Source organism: Homo sapiens, chromosome 2 (assembly GCF_000001405.40).
Source record: "Homo sapiens chromosome 2, GRCh38.p14 Primary Assembly".
NCBI classification, from domain to species: domain Eukaryota; kingdom Metazoa; phylum Chordata; class Mammalia; order Primates; family Hominidae; genus Homo; species Homo sapiens.
The window spans coordinates 68326559-68347912 of record NC_000002.12 but is presented as its reverse complement, the minus strand read 5'-3'; the positions used below and the strand labels follow the sequence as shown (position 1 = coordinate 68347912).

The window sequence follows — 21354 nt, the reverse complement described above, 5'->3', positions numbered from 1 at the left end:
AGGCCTTTTCTGCATTTATTGAGAAAATCATGTGTTTTTTTTCTTTGGTTCTGTTTATGTGATGGATTACATTTATTGATTTGCATATGTTGAGCCAGGCTTGTTTCCCAGGGATGAAGCTGACTTGATCTTGGTAGGTAAGTTTTTTGATGTGCTGCTGGATTCGGTTTGCCAGTATTTTATCGAGTATTTTCGCATCAATGTTCATCAGGGATATTGGCCTGAAGTTTTCAATTTTTTTGTGTCATTGCCAGGTTTTGGTATTAGGTCGATGCTGGCTTCGGAAAATGCATTAGGGAGGGGTCCCTCCTTTTCAATTGTTTGGCATAGTTTCAGAAGGAATGGGACCAGCTCCTCTTTGTACCTCTGGTAGAATTTGGCTGTGAATCTATCTGGTCCTGGGCTTGTTTTTTATTGGTAGACTATTAATTGCTGCCTCAATTTCAGAACTTGTTATTGGTCTATTCAGGGATTCGACTTCTTCCTGGTTTAGCCTTGGAAGGGTGTATGTGTCCAGGAATTTATCCATTTCTTATAGATTTTCTAGCTTGTTTGCATAGAGGTGTTTATATTATTCTCTGATGGTAGTTTGTATTTCTGTGGAGTCAGTGGTGTTATCCCCTTTGTCATTTTTTATTGTGTCTATTTGATTCTTCTCTATTTTCTTCTTCATTAGTCTAGCTAGCAATATATCTATTTTGTTAATTTTTTCAAAAAACCGGCTTCTGGATTCATTGATTTTTTGCAGGGTTTTTGTATCTCTATCTCCTTCAATTCCGCTCTGATCTTAGTTATCTCTTGTCTTCTGCCAGATTTTGGATTAATTTGCTCTTGCCTCTGTAGCTCTTCTAATTGTGATGTTAGGGTGTCAACTTGAGATCTTTCTAGCTTTCTCATGTGGGTATTTAGTACCATAAAATTCCCTCTTAACACTGCTTTAGCTGTGTCCCAGAGATTCTGGTAGGTTGTCTCTTTGTTCTCATTGGTTTCAAAAAACTTGATTTTTGCCTTAATTTCATTATTAACCCAGGAGTCATTCAGGATCAGGTTGTTCAATTTCCATGTAATTGTGTGGTTTTGAGTGAGTTTCTTAATCCTGAGTTCTAATTTGATTGCACTGTGGTCTGAGAGACTGTTTGGTATTATTTCACTAGTAATTTTTTAAATGCAACTTAAAACAATAAGGATATGTTATTTGTTGCTCTTCAGGCTTGGAAATTTTTTCATATTGATGACAGCCCACAGGCACTTTCATATACTATAGTGAGAATATGAACTAATAAAAATCTCTTTGGAGAGCAATGTGTTAGTACCTTTCAAAATTTTAAATGCATGCTATGAGACAGATCAACTATATATCTCAAGAGTCATATACTTCCCATATTTGCTTGTCCCTGAAAGAACAATTGTATTGATCCCTCCGAGAAAAGTCCATTCATTCTTCAAGATTTCACTTGTGATCTATACCTCAAATGCAATACTCTGACTCCTCTTTAAAATCCACCATAGGATTATTCATCTTCTTTAAATTTATGTTCTGGAGTGGAACTTAATCTATTTTTCATTTGAAAATCTAAATCAAGAGTTGGAGGATTACTTACGCATCCCATCTTCCCTCAACACATTTCTTTACCCTTTATCTCTCTTCCATTTGGCTGTTCCTGAATTATACCCTTTATAATAAACGGTAAATCAGTAGTATTTTTGCTGAGTACAAAAAATTATTAATAAAAATAAAAATAAAGGGTTGGTACACCTTTTTTGTAAAAAGCCAGATAGTAAGGCTGGGCGTGGTGGCTCATGCCTGTAATCCCAGCACATCGGGATGCAGAGGCAGGTGGAGTGATGACCTAGGTGTTGTGGAATAAATGGTCAAATTTTTAATAAGAGCATGTTTAATAATGAACCATAAGCATTTCAATAGCAACAATTATACAGTGTTGATGATTTTATGGCATAGCTTTGGTGTCCAATTAACATACTATTCCACTAATGAGAAAGCGCCTTCTGCTTTGGTGTGGCTTCAACACACTGAAGGCTCCAGAAGACCAAGAAAGCTTTGTAGGAGCTTGGCCCATCAGCACTTCTGCTGGCAGCAGCACCATCACCTGGGCTCTGCAGTTGGGAGATGTGCTCTCAGTGCAGACGTCAGTTCCGAGGGTGTCAGGTATCAGGCATCTGCAGCCTGGATGCAGCAGAATCCAGGCATCACCTGCTGCGGTGGCTGCATGGCTGCAGAAGAGAATCGTAAGGAGGGGCAATAGAGGAAACCCACAGTGACTGATAGAATTAAGCCCATGAATCCATGTGAGTCATCCACAGAATCTCCAAAATACACAGGAGACCCAGAAAGGGCACCAGAGTTGCCATCACAGAAGATATGGGCAGAGCGCTAGAAATACCATGTGTAACTGTTCTTGTGATGCTAGATTTTCTGCAGACTTGCATGGCTGGGGACACACTGGATCTATATCTACATCATGGTCACTAGATACCGAGGGTATCTTCAGTCTCCGACTTGTTCAGACAAGTTCTTTCCTAAAATGAGCTTCTTAGGATAACAGCTGCTTGGAGTTCCAGTTGTCACCCAACCTTCTAACATTTCCTGCCTATGTCCAGATGAGCTAACTGGCATTAAGTGTAGCTGAGGTCACTGAAAAGATTTTTAAATAAGCTATTTTAAAAGTTACTGACATCATCAGCTCATAGCTGTTATTCCTGGGTCAGCACAACCTCCTCTCTGCAGCAGCGGCAGTCCTTGCTGGTTACTGCCTGGCTGCGCTGCGCGGGACATGGAGTTAGATGTGGTGTCCCCAGCGCGGTGAGATCTCATGCCCTGTCGCTTCCCACTCCCCATAAAAAGTGGAGGAAACTGCTTCCCAATGGCATTTAGACCAAATGAAATGTCGGATCACAATTCAGTTCTGAGAATATTTTGACATTCTAAAGTTTAGAAATAATATGAATAATATGTATATATTTTATTCTGATTCAAGTAGATTTCACATTTCTTTAAAAGATACTTCAGTCTCATGCATAGGGGAAAAAGTTAAAATCTGAGTTTATTTACATATTTACCAAATAACTTTCGGAAGGGAGATTGGACTAGATAACATCTAAGTTCCAGCCCAACATCTAGATTCTGAAATTCTATAAAATAAATAGGATTCATTCACATTTTGTTTATTTTTGTATAGTTTAATCTTTTCAAGTGCATAGCTTATAGGCTATTCAGAACAATAGCAAAAGAGAAATAATTCACTTCTTCATGGGAGGGACAGATGTCAATGCATCTAAGGCTTTTGTTAATCTTCCAAATGCTATCAACCTTTTTAAAAATGGTGTGATTCTTAACACCTCGATCAAAATGAATCCACAGTAATAGTAACAGCTAATGTATATTGAATGCTTACTATATGTTGGCATTGTGCTAAACCTTTTACTTATTTTTTAATCTCATCTAATCCTCCCAATTTAATAAGGCAGCTATCATTATTATTATTCCTGTCTTACACATAAGGCAGCTGGGACAGAGAAGTTAAATAACTTGCCCAAAGCAACTCAGCTTATTTGGGTAACAGTAGGGACTTGATCCATGTCTGCCCCACTCTAGAGCCTGCAAGCTTCAAACAACACCCAGCATGCCTACGCCCCTAGGCTGTGTTGTTTGGCAGCCAAAAGAAATCAATCATTAAATTAACATCAACTCCCCAAAAGAGCCACATTTCCACAGGATAAACAAAGCTTCTTTGACTCTTCATTCTTAGGGAAAAAAATTGCTTCCTGTGTATTTCATGTAGAAGGCACTGAATAAAATATCTCTATAATAAATGCAGTCTTAGATTTTGTATAGCCATTTAAAAAAATCTCTCAACAGATCCTAAGTAAGGAAGTAAATGCTCAACTTGAAAAAGGCCCAGACTGGGAGCCTCAACTTGAAAAAGGCCCAAACTGGGAGCAGTGGCTCACACCTGTAATCCCAGCACTTTGGGAGGCATAGGCAGGTGGATCACGTGAGGTCAGGAATTCAAGACCAGCCTGGCCAACATGGTGAAACCCCATCACTACTAAAAACACAAAAATTAGCTGGACATGGTGGCTCGTGCCTGTAATCCCAACTACTCGGGAGGCTGAGGCAGGAGAACCACTTGAACCCGGGAGGTGGAGGTTGCAGTGAGCCGAGATTGCACCACTGCACTCCAGCCTGGTGACAGAGCAAGTCTCCATCTCAAAAAAAAAAAAAGAAAAAAGAAAAAGGCCCTGCTTCTGATCCGTGTTAAGACAATAGGAGCCATATATAAAACTCTCTAATCATCTGTCTTTCAAAACTGTAATTGGAAAAATAAGAAGAAATAAACACACAGGCACACAAATGTCAGATGAATATCCTTTAAAAAATCCTCCACATAAATCATTTTTCATCGCAATGATTGGGATAAAACTTGAAAGACTCTACTCTCAGGGATCATTTTGATAGTTCGTTACTAGGATAAAACTTGAGCATCAATAGTTTTGAGGTTATAGTTTTTGACAAAGCCCTACAGTGTGCATATTCTATGTGGCCAATAAAGAGTAGATATGTATGCTTTGAAATGTAATCAAATTATTATTCAATAAATAGTGGTGTTGTAACAGATAATCAAATGGGAAAAAAGGTAAATTTATATCAAAATAATTCCAGATAGATAAAAAATGTAAACATTAAAAATGATACCAGGAAAGTTCTATCCAAAAACCATGGGATAAAATTATTTTTATAATTTCATAATGGAGATGCCATGAGAGATTAATAAACCAAGTTACATAAAAGTAAAAAAAGTACGTATGAGAAAAAATCACAAGCAAAATAAAAAGACAAATGTCAAATTGGAAAAAAGTTATTACAGATCATGGACAAAAGGTTAATTTCTCTAATGTACTAGGAATTCATACAGAGAAATATGATAAAGACAACAGAAAATGAATAAAGGACATGAAATGGCAGTTTACAAGAAAGAGAGTTCAAATGATTCTTAAGCTTGTGAAAAATGTGTGATGCAATTTATAATAAAAGGAATGCACAACGGAATGATGAGATGCTATTCTTCACATATCAAATGGTTCAAATGCAAAACTTAGATTGTACCTTGTGTTGATGAAGGTAGGGGAGAGTAGTCACATTGCTGGTAGAAATGCAAAATGGAGCAACTCTGCAACAGGAAATTTGGCAATATTTACCAAATTATAAAAGCACATATACTTTGACTCAGCAAATCTGCTTTTGAACAATTGTCTTAGGGATGTACTTAGCTGTGTGCAAATGATAAATACACAAGGACTCCCCTCACTAAGGTATAAAGCAGCACCTTCCATCATCCTCTATCTCTTTCTATTTTATTGACCATATGATAATATTTATCATTACTGTCTTGATGATATACCTGGGTTTGTGTGTATCCCCATCAAAAGTATGCCAGTGACTAAAGGGGTAAACCGCAGGCCTGCTTGGAGAGATGACCCCGGGATTGCCTTCTGAAAGCACAATTCCCTTGCATAAATGTCAAATATTACATACCATGAGTTGGTTATCTGTCTTGTTTACTGGAAGAGCAGCAAAGTGGCACTTAAATCTTGGCTCTATGTAACTGAAATCATATCAAAAGGCAAGTGGAGTATTAGGGAAGTACATTTTCTGTTTCAAAATAAGTTACACATACCTTGACCTGGTTCATGGTAACTGCATTCCCAGAAAGTAGTTTTGGGACTACTGATGCAATCAAAGACGTTTGCATGCTGTTTCCCATCTACAGAGTAAACTTAGTGTTAGACTCAATCCCATTGTGTCTTACTGGTTGAATGCCCAGTATGATACCTGGAATTACTGCTGGTGATGGACAATACATCATTAGGTAGGCTGCAACCCCAGCATCTAGAACAGGACCTGGCACATATGAGGAACTCTCTAAATAATCTTTAAACGAAGAATGAATGAATGAATGAATACATTGTTATGTGAAAAAAGGCAAGGTCCTTGCCTCTGCCCTCCCTTCCTCACTGATATTCCGCCCTGCAAATCCTAGCCAGGACCCCCCTAACCCTGATTGCTTCTTCCTTAATTTGGTGAGTCGGCCAGGCTCTGTTTCAGTTCTCCTTCCTGCCCGGTGGCCCTGAGTTGGCTCCTGACAGTGAGCTGCAACCATCACAGGGCTCACCTTATTGGTTTCCCTCCTCCCAGGTTTCACAGTCCTATGTTGCCTGTTGTCCACTGTCTGAAAACACTTGTTATATATACTTTTTCAATTTTCTAGTTGTTTGTTACAGGAGGGAAGTTCTTGCAGCCTTTAAACCTTCACTAGAAGAAGCGCAAGAAAATAATTTTTTTCTTTAAAACTCCTCCAAGAGTGATAAAGACCATCTCCAAGGTCAATTTAAATAGTACTGTGGTCGTGTTAAAAACATACACGCACACACACACACACACACAAACCCAACTCTCATCTTTTAGAGGTTCTATTGAAATATTTATGAACTAAGGAATAACAATTTTTGAGATTTGCTCAAAAATATAGGCAAGAGTGAAATTGCATGGGAATGTGCGTTGGTCATGAATTGGTAATTCTTATAGTTGGGTGATGAGTTCAGTCTACTTTTTCATGTTTGCAATTTTCCATAATAAAAAGTTTTCTTAAATCAATTTATAGGAATCTCTATGTTTATTGCCCACTAAGTGACTTCTACTGTGTCTACTTGGTAAGAATGAATGATCTGAGAGCAGGTGTTTGATACTAGAAAGGGGCGGAACATGAGGGCACGCGGTGTAAAAAAAGAAACTGAAGGGAGGGAAACTGAAAAGCTAATGGTAATCTTTAACTGCTATAATTTATCAGTCAGTTGACTATGCCCCAGATAAACCCAGAGATCCAGAATCCAGCAGCATGCCAAGCTGACAATAGGTTCTCCACTACTACCGTGTAGCTGAGAGGTGGCAGAAAATCTACCCAACACCGTGTTGTTACTGCCACCCTGGCTGCCTGGTCCTTATTTTTAGAGAGTGAGATTTTTACAAATTGCAAAAGCCAATCTGTCCTGTCACAGACTCCTAAAATGAACCTGGATCGCCATGGTAACAGCAGAGGCAGGCAGGCAGTAGGGGAGGAACACATAGTTTGTCACGGCTACAAAAAAGCAGGCAAAAAGCAAGTCAGATTCATCCCTTAGGATTCACTCCAGAATGCTCTTCGGTAAATGCCCTTGAGAATGCAAATTCTGTCTCTTCTCAACCCCCATGTCCTCCTCTATAGAGCCATATTTATAGAGCACCTAATCTGTGCATCCCAGGAAGGTAACATCTCCATTTTGCAGAAGGGTAAATTGAGACATAAAGAGGCTAAGAACCTCTGTAAAGTCTAATAAATGTCAAAGCTGGGATTGAAACCCAGGTCCATCTAGTACCAAGGCTCATGTTCTCTCATCTCTGATTCTGTAGTAGTTAGCATTTGCAAGTGCTCATTCAGAAATTATTCATGGAAATTCTTATGTCACCACTAATAAAATAAGCATAATGCACAGTATAATAAAGGCAAAGGTAAACATAAAAAATAGAGTGTAACCATTTAGAGGTCCAGAGTGTTTTAAGAACTCATATTTAATTCTCTCTCAAATTTCCACCAAATAAGAACTTAATATTAGAATATAGTTATAGGGAAGATCTCTTTTCACTATGGGAACATGAGAAGAGACATATAAACAGGGGATGGGCCCAAAAAACAATATTCTAGGACATTAGTCTATCTGTCAATCTAGACATCATAAGGATAAATAAAAATCATACTGTTCAGCTCAAGTTTTCTCACATAACTCCTCAAATAAGCAGTACAATGTCAGTCACATTTTTTTTTCCGTGCCTGTAATAAATCCTTTAATTTAAAATGTTTGGATGTGGTAGAGAAATGCATATTTATCATCTCATACTGGTTTCTAAGGAAGGTGTTTTTGTTTGTTGTTATTATTTGAGGATTTTGTTTGCTTAGGCATTTTTTGTTTTGTTGAACATAAAATTGTTATCTTCAGTATAGTTGCCTTGAGTATCAGAGAAACAAAACATGTCTTTTTTTCCTTACCAGTCAACACAGTACACAGTATACTTCACCTCTGGTTGCCAAAATGTAGGGGGACGGGGGGTGGGGGGTTGTCCCCATGCACCAATCAACCCTTCAGCAGACACCAACTAGTGTCCTATAATTTAATTCAATTCTGACACTATCTACCTGGAGTAGAGTCGGATCCCACAAATTAAGGGCTCATTCCCACAAGACTGCACCCCACCTCAAGTGCCAATCACAAGTCTAGTTACCCACAATTTCTGCCCAATTTGGCTACAAATTCGGGACTCCAAGTTGCACCCCCTCCTCAGGCTCAATTAATTTTCTAGGATGGCTCACAGAACCCAGGGAAACACTTACTTACGTCTATAGGTTTATTATATAAAATATCACGAAGGATACAGATGAACAGCCAGATGGAAGAGATGCATAGGACAGGGTATATGGGAAGGGGAGCGGAGCATCCAGACCCTCTCTGGGCATGGCATCCTCTAGGCACCTCCACTTGCTTAGCTCCGAACCCAATAGTTTAGAGATTTTTATGGAAGCTTCATGACATAGGCGTGATCAATCATTAACTCAGTCTCTAGCCCCTGTCTCCTTCCTGGAGGGTGGAGGAGTAGGGCTAAAAGTTCCAATTGTCTAATCATGGCTTGGTCCTTCTGGTGACCAACCTCAACATCCAGGAGCACATCAAGAGTCAGCTTACTAGAACAAAAGATGTTTCTATCACCCAGGAAATTCCAATGGACTTGGGAGCTCTATGTCAGACACTATTGTTACTCTGGAACTTACAAAGGTTATCCAACATGAACTACCACTGTGGATACCGGGATATCCACCACAAACTACCACTGTGGATGATGTGTTTTGTTTTGTTTTGTTTTGTTTTGTTTTGTTTTGTTTTGTGACAGGGTCTGGCTCTGTCACCCAGGCTGGAGTACACTGGCATAATCACAGCTCACTGCAGCCTCTACCTCTGGGCTCAAGCAATGCTCCCACCTCAGTCTCACTAGTAGTTGGGACCACAGGTGTTCACTACCATGCCCAGCCAATTTTTGAATTTTTTGTTTTGTAGAGACAGCATTTCACCTTGTTGCTCAGGCTGGTCTCGAACTCCTGGGCTCAAGCGATCTGCCCACCTCAACCTCCCAAAGTGCTGGGATTACAGGAGTAAGCCACCACTCCTGGCCTAATGAATTCTAACTATGTTTTAGTCTTTGCATCATTTATTCAAGATTCAAAGTCCTGAAAAAGATCCATGCTTTACATCGTACACAAAAATTAGCTAAAAGTGAATAATAGCTCTAAATATAAATGCTAAAACTAGAAAACTTGCAGAAGAAAGAAACAGGAAAAAATCGTTGCAACCTTAGGTTACCAAAGGTTTGTCAGATACAACAACAAACTCATGATCAATAAGAAAAACAAATTGAAATATTGAAATCCTTCGAAATGAACAACTTCTGCTCCTTGAAAAACATCATCAAGAAGATGAAAAGACAAGACATAAATTGGGAGAAAATAGTTGCAAATCACATTCTGGGTTGAATCCAGAATATATGAAGAACTCTAAAACTATATAATAAAACACAAACAACCCAGTACAAAACTGGGCAAAATAAATGGAAAAAGCACTTTATGTAGATTGTATGATGCCTCTCCATCTACAGGGTTGTCCACACCTGAACCCTGGAACTTGTGAAGATGTTACCATACATGACAAAAGGGGCTTTGTAAATGTAACTAAGTTAAGGATCTTGAGGCAGGTATTATCCAGGTGGGCCTAATGTAGTCATGGGCGTTCTTATCAAAGAGAGGAAGGAGGGTCAAGGTCAGGAAAAGGCAATGTGATGATGGAAGCAGAGAGGGATTGGAAGATAATATGCTGCTGACTCAGTCCATGAGCCAAGGAATGCAGGTGGCCTCTGAAGAATAGAAAAAGGCAAAGAAATTGATTGTCCTCTCAAGCCTTCAGAACGAACACAGCCCTGCCAACACTTTGTTTTAGGACTTCCAACCTCCAAACCGTGTGATAATACATTTATGTTTTTTAAAGCCACTAACTTTGTGGTCATTTGTTACAGCAGCAATGGGAAACTAGTAAATACTTCACCAAAGAAGATATATATGTGACAAAATAAGCACATGCAAAGATGTTCAACATCATTAGTCATTAGGGAAATGCAAATTAAAATCATGAGATGCTATTGCACATCTACTAGCATAGCTAAAATTTTAAAACTGATAATGCCAAGTACTGGTGAGGATGTGGAACAACTGGAAAACTCATATGTTGCTGGTTAAAATATGAAATGGCACAGCCACTTTAGGAAATAATTTGGTAATTTCTTATCAAGTTAAACATATACTTATCACATTACCCAAGAATTCCACTTCTATGTATTTATCCAAATTAAATGATAAGTAAAGCTAATCTAAAATGCTATGAATAGACATGAATGTTTATAGTGTCTTTATTTATAATTGTCCAAGACTAGAAACAATTCAAATATAATTCAACTGGTAAATGAATAAACAATGATACATCCACACTATGGAATACTATCCAGCAATAAAAAAGATACACACTAACATGGGTGACTCTCAATTGCATTATGAAAAGTGAGAGAGTCAGCCTCAAAGGCTCGTATTGTATGATTCCACTTATATGACATTCTGGGTGAGAAAAAATATAGACAGTAAAAATACCAATGGTTATTTGGGCCTGAGAATGGGGGAAATAGTTGAGTACAAGACGTGAGGGTATTTGGGGAGGTGATAGAGATGCTCTATGTCTCAATTGTGGTGGTAGTTATATAACTGCATGTGTTTGTTAAAACTCACAGAATTGAGCATCTCACTGCAGTATATTTTACTGCTTATAAATTATACCTTATTTTTTAGTGGATAAAAGTGAGATTAAAACCAACTCCAAATGTGTTTAGATCTAAATGCGAAAGGGGAAAACAAAAGTTTTAACGAATAAATATGGGGAAAGATATTTAAGAACTTAGGTTAAGCAAAAGAAATATAAAAAATTAAGAAATAGAATTATATTAACATTAGGAACTTCTGTTTATCAAAAGACATCATTGAGAGAATGAAAATACAAGTTACAGACTGGGAACAGTTAGTGGGAACATATTTAGCCAACAAAGGAATCATATCCAGAATATACAAAGAATTCTTACAAATGAATAAGAAAAAATAGACTTTTTTTAATTTGCAAAAGACACAAACAGGTACTTTTTACAAAAGAGAACATTTTAAAGGCCCATTAAATTTATGAGGGAAAGACTCAATCCCATTAGTCACTATGGAAATGTAATTTAAAACCTAGACATAAATTAAAACCACAATGAGATAACATTACTCACTCACCAAAAATGGTTAACATTTCAAAGATTAGCAATCACAAATGTTGACAAGAATGTGGAGGAACTGGAAATTCTTGTACACTGATGGGGGGATGTAAATTAGCAAAACAATTTTGGAAAGCTATTTGGCAATATTCGCTAAAGCTGAACATTTGCAAATGCACCCATATGTTCACCCAAAAAAAAAAATGGTATAGAGTTCATCACTGTAGTCTTTGTACTAGCTAAAATGTAGAAATTGCTTACTTTCCCTCAACAGTAAATAAATATACCAAATAAATGATGGTATTTTTATTCAATGGAAAGGCTATATATCATATACACGGATAGACAGCTGCCAACATAGTAACAGGAATGAATCCAACAAATACACTTATCAAAAGAAGCCAGACAAAAGAATTCACACAGATTCCGTTCACACGAAGTTCAATAACAGGTAAAACTAATTCATGATGTTAGACATCAGGTTGGTGGTTATCTTTGGGAAGGAATATGTGAGTAATGATTAGGAGAGTTTGGGGGACATTATTTTATTTATTGATGTTAGTGATAGTTATGTAGTGAGAATTCATCAGCCTATACCCTTACAATTTTTGCACTCTTTGGATGTATTGTATATTTCAATATAAAAGCTAAAAATAATTATAAGGGAGTCCTTAAGGACATAGAAATATTGAGAAATATTAAGTTTTAAAACACTGCCTTAAGCCCAGGCACAGTGTCTCACGCCTGTAATTCCAGCACTTTGAGAGGCCGAGGCAGGTGGATCACCTGAGGTCAGGAGTTCGAGACCAGCCTGGCCAACATGGTGAAACCCCATCTCTACTAAAAATACAAACAAACAAACAAACAAAAAATTAGCTGGGCATGGTGGCATGCTCCTGTAATCCCAGCTGCTTGGGAAGCTGAGGCAAGCGAATCACTTGAACTTGGGAGGTGAAGGTTGCAGTGAGCAGAAATCATGCCACTACACTCCAGCCTGGGCAACAGAGTGAGACATTGTCTCAAAAAAATAATAAAATAATAATAAAAAATAAAACATCGCCTTAAAACAATATGTAGAGGGTGGTCTTATGTTTGTTATTTTGGGTGGCTCATTATTTTCCCTTGTTTTCATGGGGAAATAACTGTCCCCTTACAATCTTCCCCCCAAATATACACATACTTCTTTGGTCTGGGTGCCTGCTCTTGTCACATTCCAAGTATTTGGGGGGTTTCCTAATACAGTGCTCCATGCCCGCTAATAAGCACCTTTGCTGGGATTTTAGATCTGGAGTGTAACCATTCAGGGACAAAAGTTGTTTAAAGATAAAACAACCTGAGGAAGGGTCCTAGGGAGATTGCCCATGATTTTGGTTGCTGACAGCTGAGGGCCACCAAGGTTCCTGTGTATTCCGTGGCCTGAGCATTCTGCTTGATTTGCACAAGGCTCTGTAGTATTCTTCTAATAAATAATTTTCATTGTATGTGTCTGTTTTTTTTGTTTTGTTTGTTTGTTTGTTTGTTTGTTTGTTTTGACAGAGTTTTGCTCTTGTTGCCCAGGCTGGAGCGCAGTAGCTCGATCTCGGCTCACCACAACCTCTGCCTCCCAGGTTCAAGCGATTCTCCTGCCTCAGCCTCCCGGGTAGCTGGGATTACAGGTGCTCACCACCACGCCCGGCTAATTTTTTGCATTTTTAGTAGAGACTGGGTTTCGCCATGTTGGGCAGGCTGGTCTCGAACTCTTGACCTCAGGTGATCCACCCGCCTTGGCCTCCCGAAGTGCTGGGATTTCAGGCGAGAGCCACCATGCCCAGCCTTTTCATCGTTTAGGTAAGTCAGAGTCAATTTTCCTTACTGGCAACCAAATAACAATAATGAAGTTGGGGCATGGCAGTAGGCTGTAGAATCAGATAATATACACTAAGATTTTAAAAATAACAGTTGCTTTTCTTTTCATTTTCCTTGTCTATATTTCCTACAACAAATAATGAATATTATTTTTATAATATGAAAGAATAATAAAACTATTTTTACAAGCAGAATTAGAGACAGAGATGGCATCAGGCACCTAGAATGAGGTAGTTACTTACCCCAACTGAGCTCTTAGTGTATATCTGACTTTTCTAGAATTTTTATAAATACCTCTTCACACTCTGTAGATTGTCTTTTCTCTCCTTTATGGTGTCTTTGATGAACAAGCATTCTTAATTGCAGTACAATCCATTCTAATAATTTTCTGTACTTTTTCATTTGTTTTTGGCTGTTTTTTGTTTTTTTGAGAGGTAGCTGTGATATATTGCTTACTGATGGATGTGGTCAGATAAGAACAACACAATTATCCTCATTGGTGGGAGTGTGGGCCCCGGTCTGGCTTTTTTCTTTGCTTTTATCATGTGATACATATACAGAGTAGTACATAAAATGTGTAAACACTTTAAAGAAAAATGATGAAATGAATATGTGTGTAACGACTCGTCAAGAAATAGAATAGTTCCAGTGTCCTAGAAACCCCATGTGCCTCTCTCCTTCATACATCCCTGCCTCACTCACTCCCAGTGATTACAGTTACCTTGATTGCAAGATAATCATTTCTTGATTTCCTTTATCATTTATGTGCACATATAAACAGACAAATATCTCTAACTGTTATCATAATTTACTTGTTTTTGAAATATATAGGATCCTATTATTTTTATTCTTGAAGTTCTTGTTTCTTTAGTTTAGTATTGAGAGATGCATTCGTATTACAACATATAGCTCTAGTTGGATCATTTTCAATAATGCACGGTATTCTATTGCCCATAATGTATTCATTCTACTGCTGGTGGATAGTTGATTCTTTCCCCAGCTCTGTAATGTTGTTTGGAAATGGATTACTGCTACCTGGTCTCATTGAATTTTAAATTATTTTTTATAGCTACCTTAGCATATTTTATAGTCTCATGACCTAACTCGTCTTTGTGGCTTCATCTTCTCTCTCTTTGAACATTTCATCCATATTTTATATTTCCTAGCTGGTGTTCTAATAACTGAAGTCATTAGTGGTCTAAGTGTGTTGCTTGTTGTTTGTGTGGAATCTTATTCTTTTTTCTTCTATATGGTTTTGGTGATCTTTGATCATGAACTGATATTTTGCTGAAATTCATCAGTTGAAAAATGTTTGGGCTTAAATCAAGAATTCTTCCTCCAGAGATGATTTTTATTCACTTCGTCAAAGAGTTGGGGGCGTTACAAACCTGCAACCATTTATTTTTTTATTATTTATTTATTTATTTATTTATTTATTTATTTTGATATGGAGTTGCGCTCTTGTTGCCCAGGCTGGAGTGCAATGGCGAGGCCTCGGCTCACGGCAACCTCCGCCTCCCAGGTTCAAGCACTTCTGCCTCAGCCTCCAGAGTAGCTGGGATTACAGGCATGCGCCACCACACCTGGCTAATTTTTTGTATTTTTAGTAGAGATGGTGTTTCACCATGTTAGTCAGGCTGGTCTCGAACTCCTGACCTCAGGTGATCTGCCCACCTCAGCCTCCCAAAGTAGTGGGTTTATAGGCGTGAGCCACTGCGCCCAGCCTGCAACCACTTTTAATCCATATTTGGAGCATCTGGGGTTTTAAACGTGTCCCTTCCCCCAACTTCCCTCATCTTACCACTGGCCATCAGCTGAGTTTCTGGATTGCAGGGTTGATCTCTTAATTTTGTTTGCTCCCTCTTCAACTCTACCTTCTCAGAGGCACTTAAGACTCACTGGGTGTCTGTTGTTGTTGTTGTTGTTGTTGTTGTTGTTGTTTTCCTTTGGAAAGTTTCCTATTTTCTGTGATACAAGAATATTATAAAAATTAGGTTTTGTGTTGGTTCAAGTTGTTTGGTAAGAGAAGAGCTCTTTACGACTATATGGTTCACCATCATGTCAAAAGCAGAAGTCCCAAGATAATATTTTTTGGTAGGTTGGTAAGGCATTAATGGCCTTGTTTGAGAACAATAAATGGAAATTATTCTACTAACTAAGCCATACATTTTTATTAAGTAAGGTAGGCAAAAGCTTGATTGTCCTTAGTTGAGGCCAAGAGATGAACTTGGATCAGAGAGGATTTATAGAAATTTGGGGATGAGAAAGAGGTGAAAAGAGATAACTGGGAAGAAGACCCAACTCGACTGGATGTGTTTGATTAAATTTCTGCTGTTCAGTGAGGAATGTGCACAAACTAATCACAAATATATCCACTTGTGAAGAATAATGTTGTGTTGGCCGGGTGCAGCGGCTCACGCCTGTAATTGCACCACTTTGGAAGGCCGAGGTGGTCGGATCACGAGGTCAGGAGTTCGAGACCAGCCTGACCAACATGGTGAAACCCCATCTCTACCGATAATACAAAAATTAGCTTGGTTTGGTGACATGTGCCTGTAATCCCAGCTACTCAGGAGGCTGAGGTGGGAGAATCGCTTGAACCCTCGAGGCGAAGGTTGCAGTGAGCCGAGATGGCACCACTGTATTCCAGCCTGGGCGATAGAGTGAGACTCCATCTCAAAAAAAAAAAAAAAAAGAAGAAGAATGTTGTGAACTGGATCTACATTGCAAGAAGTCAGGCTTTAAGGTAAGTGAAAGTAAGAGCTGGGATTTCCCTGCATTTGGTTGGTACCTGAAGAATGAAATTTATCTGACCTTATTATTTTGGTCTCTTGCATAGATACCTTCATTATGTTAAGATTTACTGTGAGTCTCTTAGTTTTTATACCATACTAATATAAAAATCCATTTGAAGAACACTCTGTCTTTTGTAAAACCACATTTCAAGATAATAGCCGTTAAGTTACTCTATGTGTCTTATACAAGAACCCACACGTGTACAAGATTTCTCCTTAAATTCAGTGCCAGGAAAAACCTCGTCTCTTTAGCAAAATAAGTTTTCTTCTTTTTGTCAGACTAAATAACCCATATGTTTCCTGTCCCAAGTTTTCTCCTTAACTCCCAGGAACCTTCGAGCCAAATTCAAGGCTCAATTGTGGTAATCAACAAATCCCAGGTGCCTGGTTTTATCTCTGTCTTCGATCCTGGTAAAAGTAGCTTTATTATCCTTTCATTTGATAGTATAAAAATAATACATATTCATTATTCATTGTAGAAAATATAGACAAGAACAATTTTAGAAAACAACTGTTACTGTTAAAATCTTAGTATATATTATCTGATTATACTGCACCCCCTGACCCCAACTCTACTGTAATTATTTGATTGCCAGAAAGGAAAATTGACTCTGACTTACTTAAACAATAAAAAGTATTTATTAGAAGGATACTGAGCTGGATAGAATAGTATGTGCCTGTAGTCCCAGCTACTTGGGAGGCTGGAGGATCACTTGAGCTGGGGAGTTCGTGTCCAGTCTGGGCAACATAGTGAGACCCCCATCTCCAAAAAAAAGAAAAAATAAAAGAAGGATATTGGAAAGCTGCCATTATTCAAATAGAATGCCCAGACCTCAGAACGCACAAGAACCTTGACAGCCCACAGCTCCCAGCTCCCCTCATGAAAACATACACAATCTCCTTATGACCCTGTCACTGGCTGACTCATCTCCATACTACTTTTTTCCTGAGTGACAGCCAGCACAAAGCACTGTGTTCAGCATTTCCACTAAGACTGCGTGAAATAGGGCAAGACCAGACAGCCAGTGCAAATGAGTAAGAGAATGGTTCTGCCACCATAAAAGTGGGTGAATAAAAGGGGGTATTGCAAACCCCCTCTCTCAGCTGGGAAACATCTTGGTCTTGTCATATGCCTATTTTTTCTTCCACTTTTCTAGTCATGACCAGGGTTAATGAATTTATATTGCTTCAAGAAAGGACCCAGGGACTCATTGTCTTGGTGGATTTCCTGAGTGGGCCTCAGTTGCTGAGGACTGTAGCTGTCTGTTGCTTCCATTGTTCTTCCTGCCCTCATCCCACCAAAGATGGCTGGGTCTTCAGAGGAAGGAGAAGAAGGAGTTCACAATGAGCAGAGGTCATGATACCCCTAAGTTTATAACACATAATTACAGCAAGATACAGGTTGATTATGCTTATTTCAAGATTAATAGTAGATGGTGTGCATCTGTTCTATACTCTCAACAAGTGGCACATAACAGGAAATATGTATGGTATGTATCTAATGCAACACATCTCAATACTTATGGGAACAGGAGTTGGTGGAACACAAGTGCCCTCAGTGATATTAACATTAGTTTTGAGGAATGGGTTTTGGCAGTTGAAAAACATTTAGAAAACATTGCATTGTTTTCTGTATTGTTTACTGTATCAAGCTAAAAGCTCTAGAAAGTTCTAGTTGTGTGTGTGTGTACACATACATATGTATACAAACATATATGTTAATATTTTTAAATTTTGGATTTCCCACAGTTACTTGACCACACATCATTTCTCGTGGAACACCTAATAATTCTTGTGAGATCGATGTTCTGTTTAAACAGTTTATGAAACATTGGTTTAATATGTTAGAGATACTTAATATTACAAAATTTGTTCAAAATTTGACTGTGTTCCAATAAAAATTTATTTAATGGACACTGAAATTTGAACCATGTAGTTTCCCACGTCATCAGTATAGTTATTGTTTTGACTTTTTACCAACCATTTAAAAATATGAGGCTGGCTGCGGTGGCTCAACCAGGTGCGGTGGCTGACACCTGTAATCCCAGCACTTTGGGAGGCTGAGGCAGGTGGATCGCTTGAGCTCAGGAGTTTGAGACCAGCCTGGGCAACATAGCAAAAACCTTGTCTCTACTAAAAATACAAAAAAATGAGCCAGACATGGTGGCATGCTTGTGTTCCCAGCTACTTGTGGGGCTGAGGCTCGAAGCAAGAATGGCTTGAACCTGGGAGGTGGAGGTTGCAGTGAGCTGAGATCGCACCACTGCACTCCAGCCTGGGTGACAGAGTGAGACTCCATCTCAAAAAATAAATAAATAAACAAATACATAAGTAAATAAAAATGTGAAACCATTCTTATTTCATGGACCACACAAAAATAGGCAGCCTTATTTGGCCCAACGGCTATAGTTTGCTGACCTCTGTTTTAAATATTTGTAGAGCAATGATCACATGCACACACATACACATACAAAATGTCGTTTATTCAAACCAAAATATGTCTATTCTCTTGGGCTTTCTTGTTAGGAATATTTCAGATTTGACCTGGCATTTCTGAGGGAGAACAATCTTAATGGATACTTTTGTGCCTGTAGTACCCAGGCTCCAACTTGGCCCCCAACAATCCCTGCCTCCTGGTCATCAGTGTAGTCCCTCGGGTAGTCAGTCCTCTCCCACAGTGCAACAGCACACGGTAGAAACTATAACATGTCACTTCCGAGATGAGGTTACAAAGACTGCAGCTTCTGTCTTGAGTGCATGTTCCTCCTCTCTTTCCATCTCTGCCACGTCATGTGGTGAGGCCCACATAGCAAAAAACTGAAGCCTACAGCCAACAGACACAGAGAAACTGAGACCTGCCATCACCTATGTGAGTGAATTTGGCGGCACATGCACCAGCCCCAATGGAGCCATCAGAAACTGCTGCCCCAGCTAACAGCTTAAATGCAACCTCATGAAAGACCTTGATCCAGAACCACCCAACTGAATGCCCCCGGACTCTTGCAAACCCAGAAAGTGTAGGATAATAGATGTTTGTTGTTTTAAGCTGCAAAATTATGGGGTCACTTTTTATGCATCCACAGACAAGTAATAATGTTGCCTACGTTAGAACAAGACCTGTTGGATTCGTAACACTAACTCCTGGCATATTGCTGCTCTCAAGAGCCTTCTACTCCGCCTCATAACCCAGTCCCATGTCTGGACACCCAGTCTGTGAACACTGCTTTACCAGACGGTCCCTGAAACTGACACTTAACTACCATCTTTGGAATGTCTATGTGTAACCCAAGGAACTAGTAAAGGAAGAGGGGGGAATTTCCTGCACATTATTTTCCATAAAACACTGGTCAGATTTTCTGAACCTTATAACATAATAGCATCTTTTCCCCTCAAAAAAAAATGTAAGTTTATTCGCTGTTTCCTAGTCTACTTATGGAACTCCCCATACTTTCTTTATTCCCACTTTTTAGGATGTTCTCAAATAGTATATTGCACTTTAAGTGACAATTTGATCTTTGGGAATTGTGCTTTGTTTTTCAATCAGTCGTCTGATTTTCCTCTAGAGCACACATTCTATTCCACTGTTTATTAGTTCTTACTTGTCAGTATTATAAGTCCTCTGATTATTCAAGAATGACATTTTGTAAAACATAACGTGGGACAAGCAAGAAAATAACGGTCACTCTGCCAAGCCAATCACATGATCCCAACAGCAGCTTGGAGCCAGACCAGTCATCATTAGTAGGAAATCTCATTATATTTTGTAATTTAAGGGCATTGGGATTTCTTAATGTCAAAAAATACCTCCTATACATTTAGACAAGTGATGGGGATTGTGCATGCTACTTCAGTGTGGGGTGTTCCCAGCACCTGAGTATGTGGCCATGCACGTGGGTGTTGGGAGGAGAGGTTGGAGGTGGGAAGTGGAAATATCCAGATACCCTAACTTCCCTTATTTAGCTTGTTTCTTAGTTAATCACAGGACTCTAGATGTAGAACAAACTTCAAGAGATTGTTAAAAAAAAAAAACTCCCATCTGGTCTTTGAACTCCATAATTATGTCTTCTATAAGATTAGACAGGATTACAGTTATTTGACTAATACAATAAGGGTTATCAGTGATGGTGGGCTTGGCAGGCACTGTGCTTGGAGTTCAGGCACTGGAGTTGGACCATCTCAGCTCAAATCCCACCTCTGTCATTTATTATTATTTTTATTTTTTCTTTTGCCTTCCCAGAACCTTCACTGGTCGCTTCCTTGGGAAATACTACCCCCTTTTATAGAGCGATGATTCTCCCTTCCCACTCATTTGGCTCTCAAGTTTCTAGTTCTGGTTATTCCTGAGGTCCAGCTGATCCTTTCTGTCTCTTGTGTATTGCTTCATCAACTCTTCCTTTTGTCACATAATATGCCCAGGTAATAATCCCCTAAGCTGGTTAGAACTGAATTTTTATACTTACAACCACTTGCAAAAGAATCCTGACTAATTCAGCTGTGCTAGGTTTTGTGACATATATAAAAGAAGAGGAAATTATAGTCTGATTAAAACATAAGACATATGAAAAAGAAACAAATAGAAAATCATATAAGATAGTAAATAAATATAATTGTTATAGTAACAATTACTAATTGTTTGGTGGTATATTAATTGGTTTGCAACATAATTGCATTTAGAAAGCAATATTGCATCTGTGGAAAAATATTAAAATTGCCATAACACCTGCATATTTAAAAACATCTGTTAGTTAATACCACCTGCTAAGCATTAAACCCCTCACTGATCAGATACAACCTACTGTGCCACAGCCTGACATTCTGCCACTGTTCTCTGGAAATCTGAGCTATATGCTGTTGTTAAACGTTTGAAAGTTTAAGTGTAATTAAAATAACCTCAGTAATCAAAACGTCAGCATCTTAACAATGTTTGAAATATTTGAACAATTAGAAAAATGGGGGGAGGGGCACATGGTAAGCAACCTGAATCATTGTCACTTGCGTTTAACAGAGTAAAAAAAAAAGAAAAAGAAAGAAAAAGAAAAAAAAGAAAGAAAGAAAGAAGGAAAGAAAACGTTATGGAAAATTGTTTTTCTTGGAAGAGAAAAAGATGTAATGGATTGGATCCATCACAGGAGACTCGGGAAATGGCCCTTGTTTGGTTTGATCTGCACTAAACAAAAAATATTTGCAGCCTTAAGAATAGAAGACAATTTTGGCCGCATGCAGTGGCTCACTCCTGTAATCCCAGCACTTTGGTAGGCCGAGGCGGGC

At 38.7% G+C, this 21354-nt stretch overlaps 1 long non-coding RNA gene across 1 annotated transcript; it reads right to left on the bottom strand.

Annotated features, from left to right (window-relative positions):
- Positions 1-236: 236 nt before the first annotated feature.
- LOC102724389 (uncharacterized) lies at positions 237-15289 on the bottom strand. The gene is made up of 4 exons (XR_940224.4): positions 15093-15289; positions 5555-5624; positions 5126-5189; positions 237-2232 (listed from the first exon to the last, which is right to left on the bottom strand). It is a non-coding gene; the product is annotated as an uncharacterized LOC102724389 (long non-coding RNA).
- Between the last annotated feature and the right edge of the window lie 6065 nt (positions 15290-21354).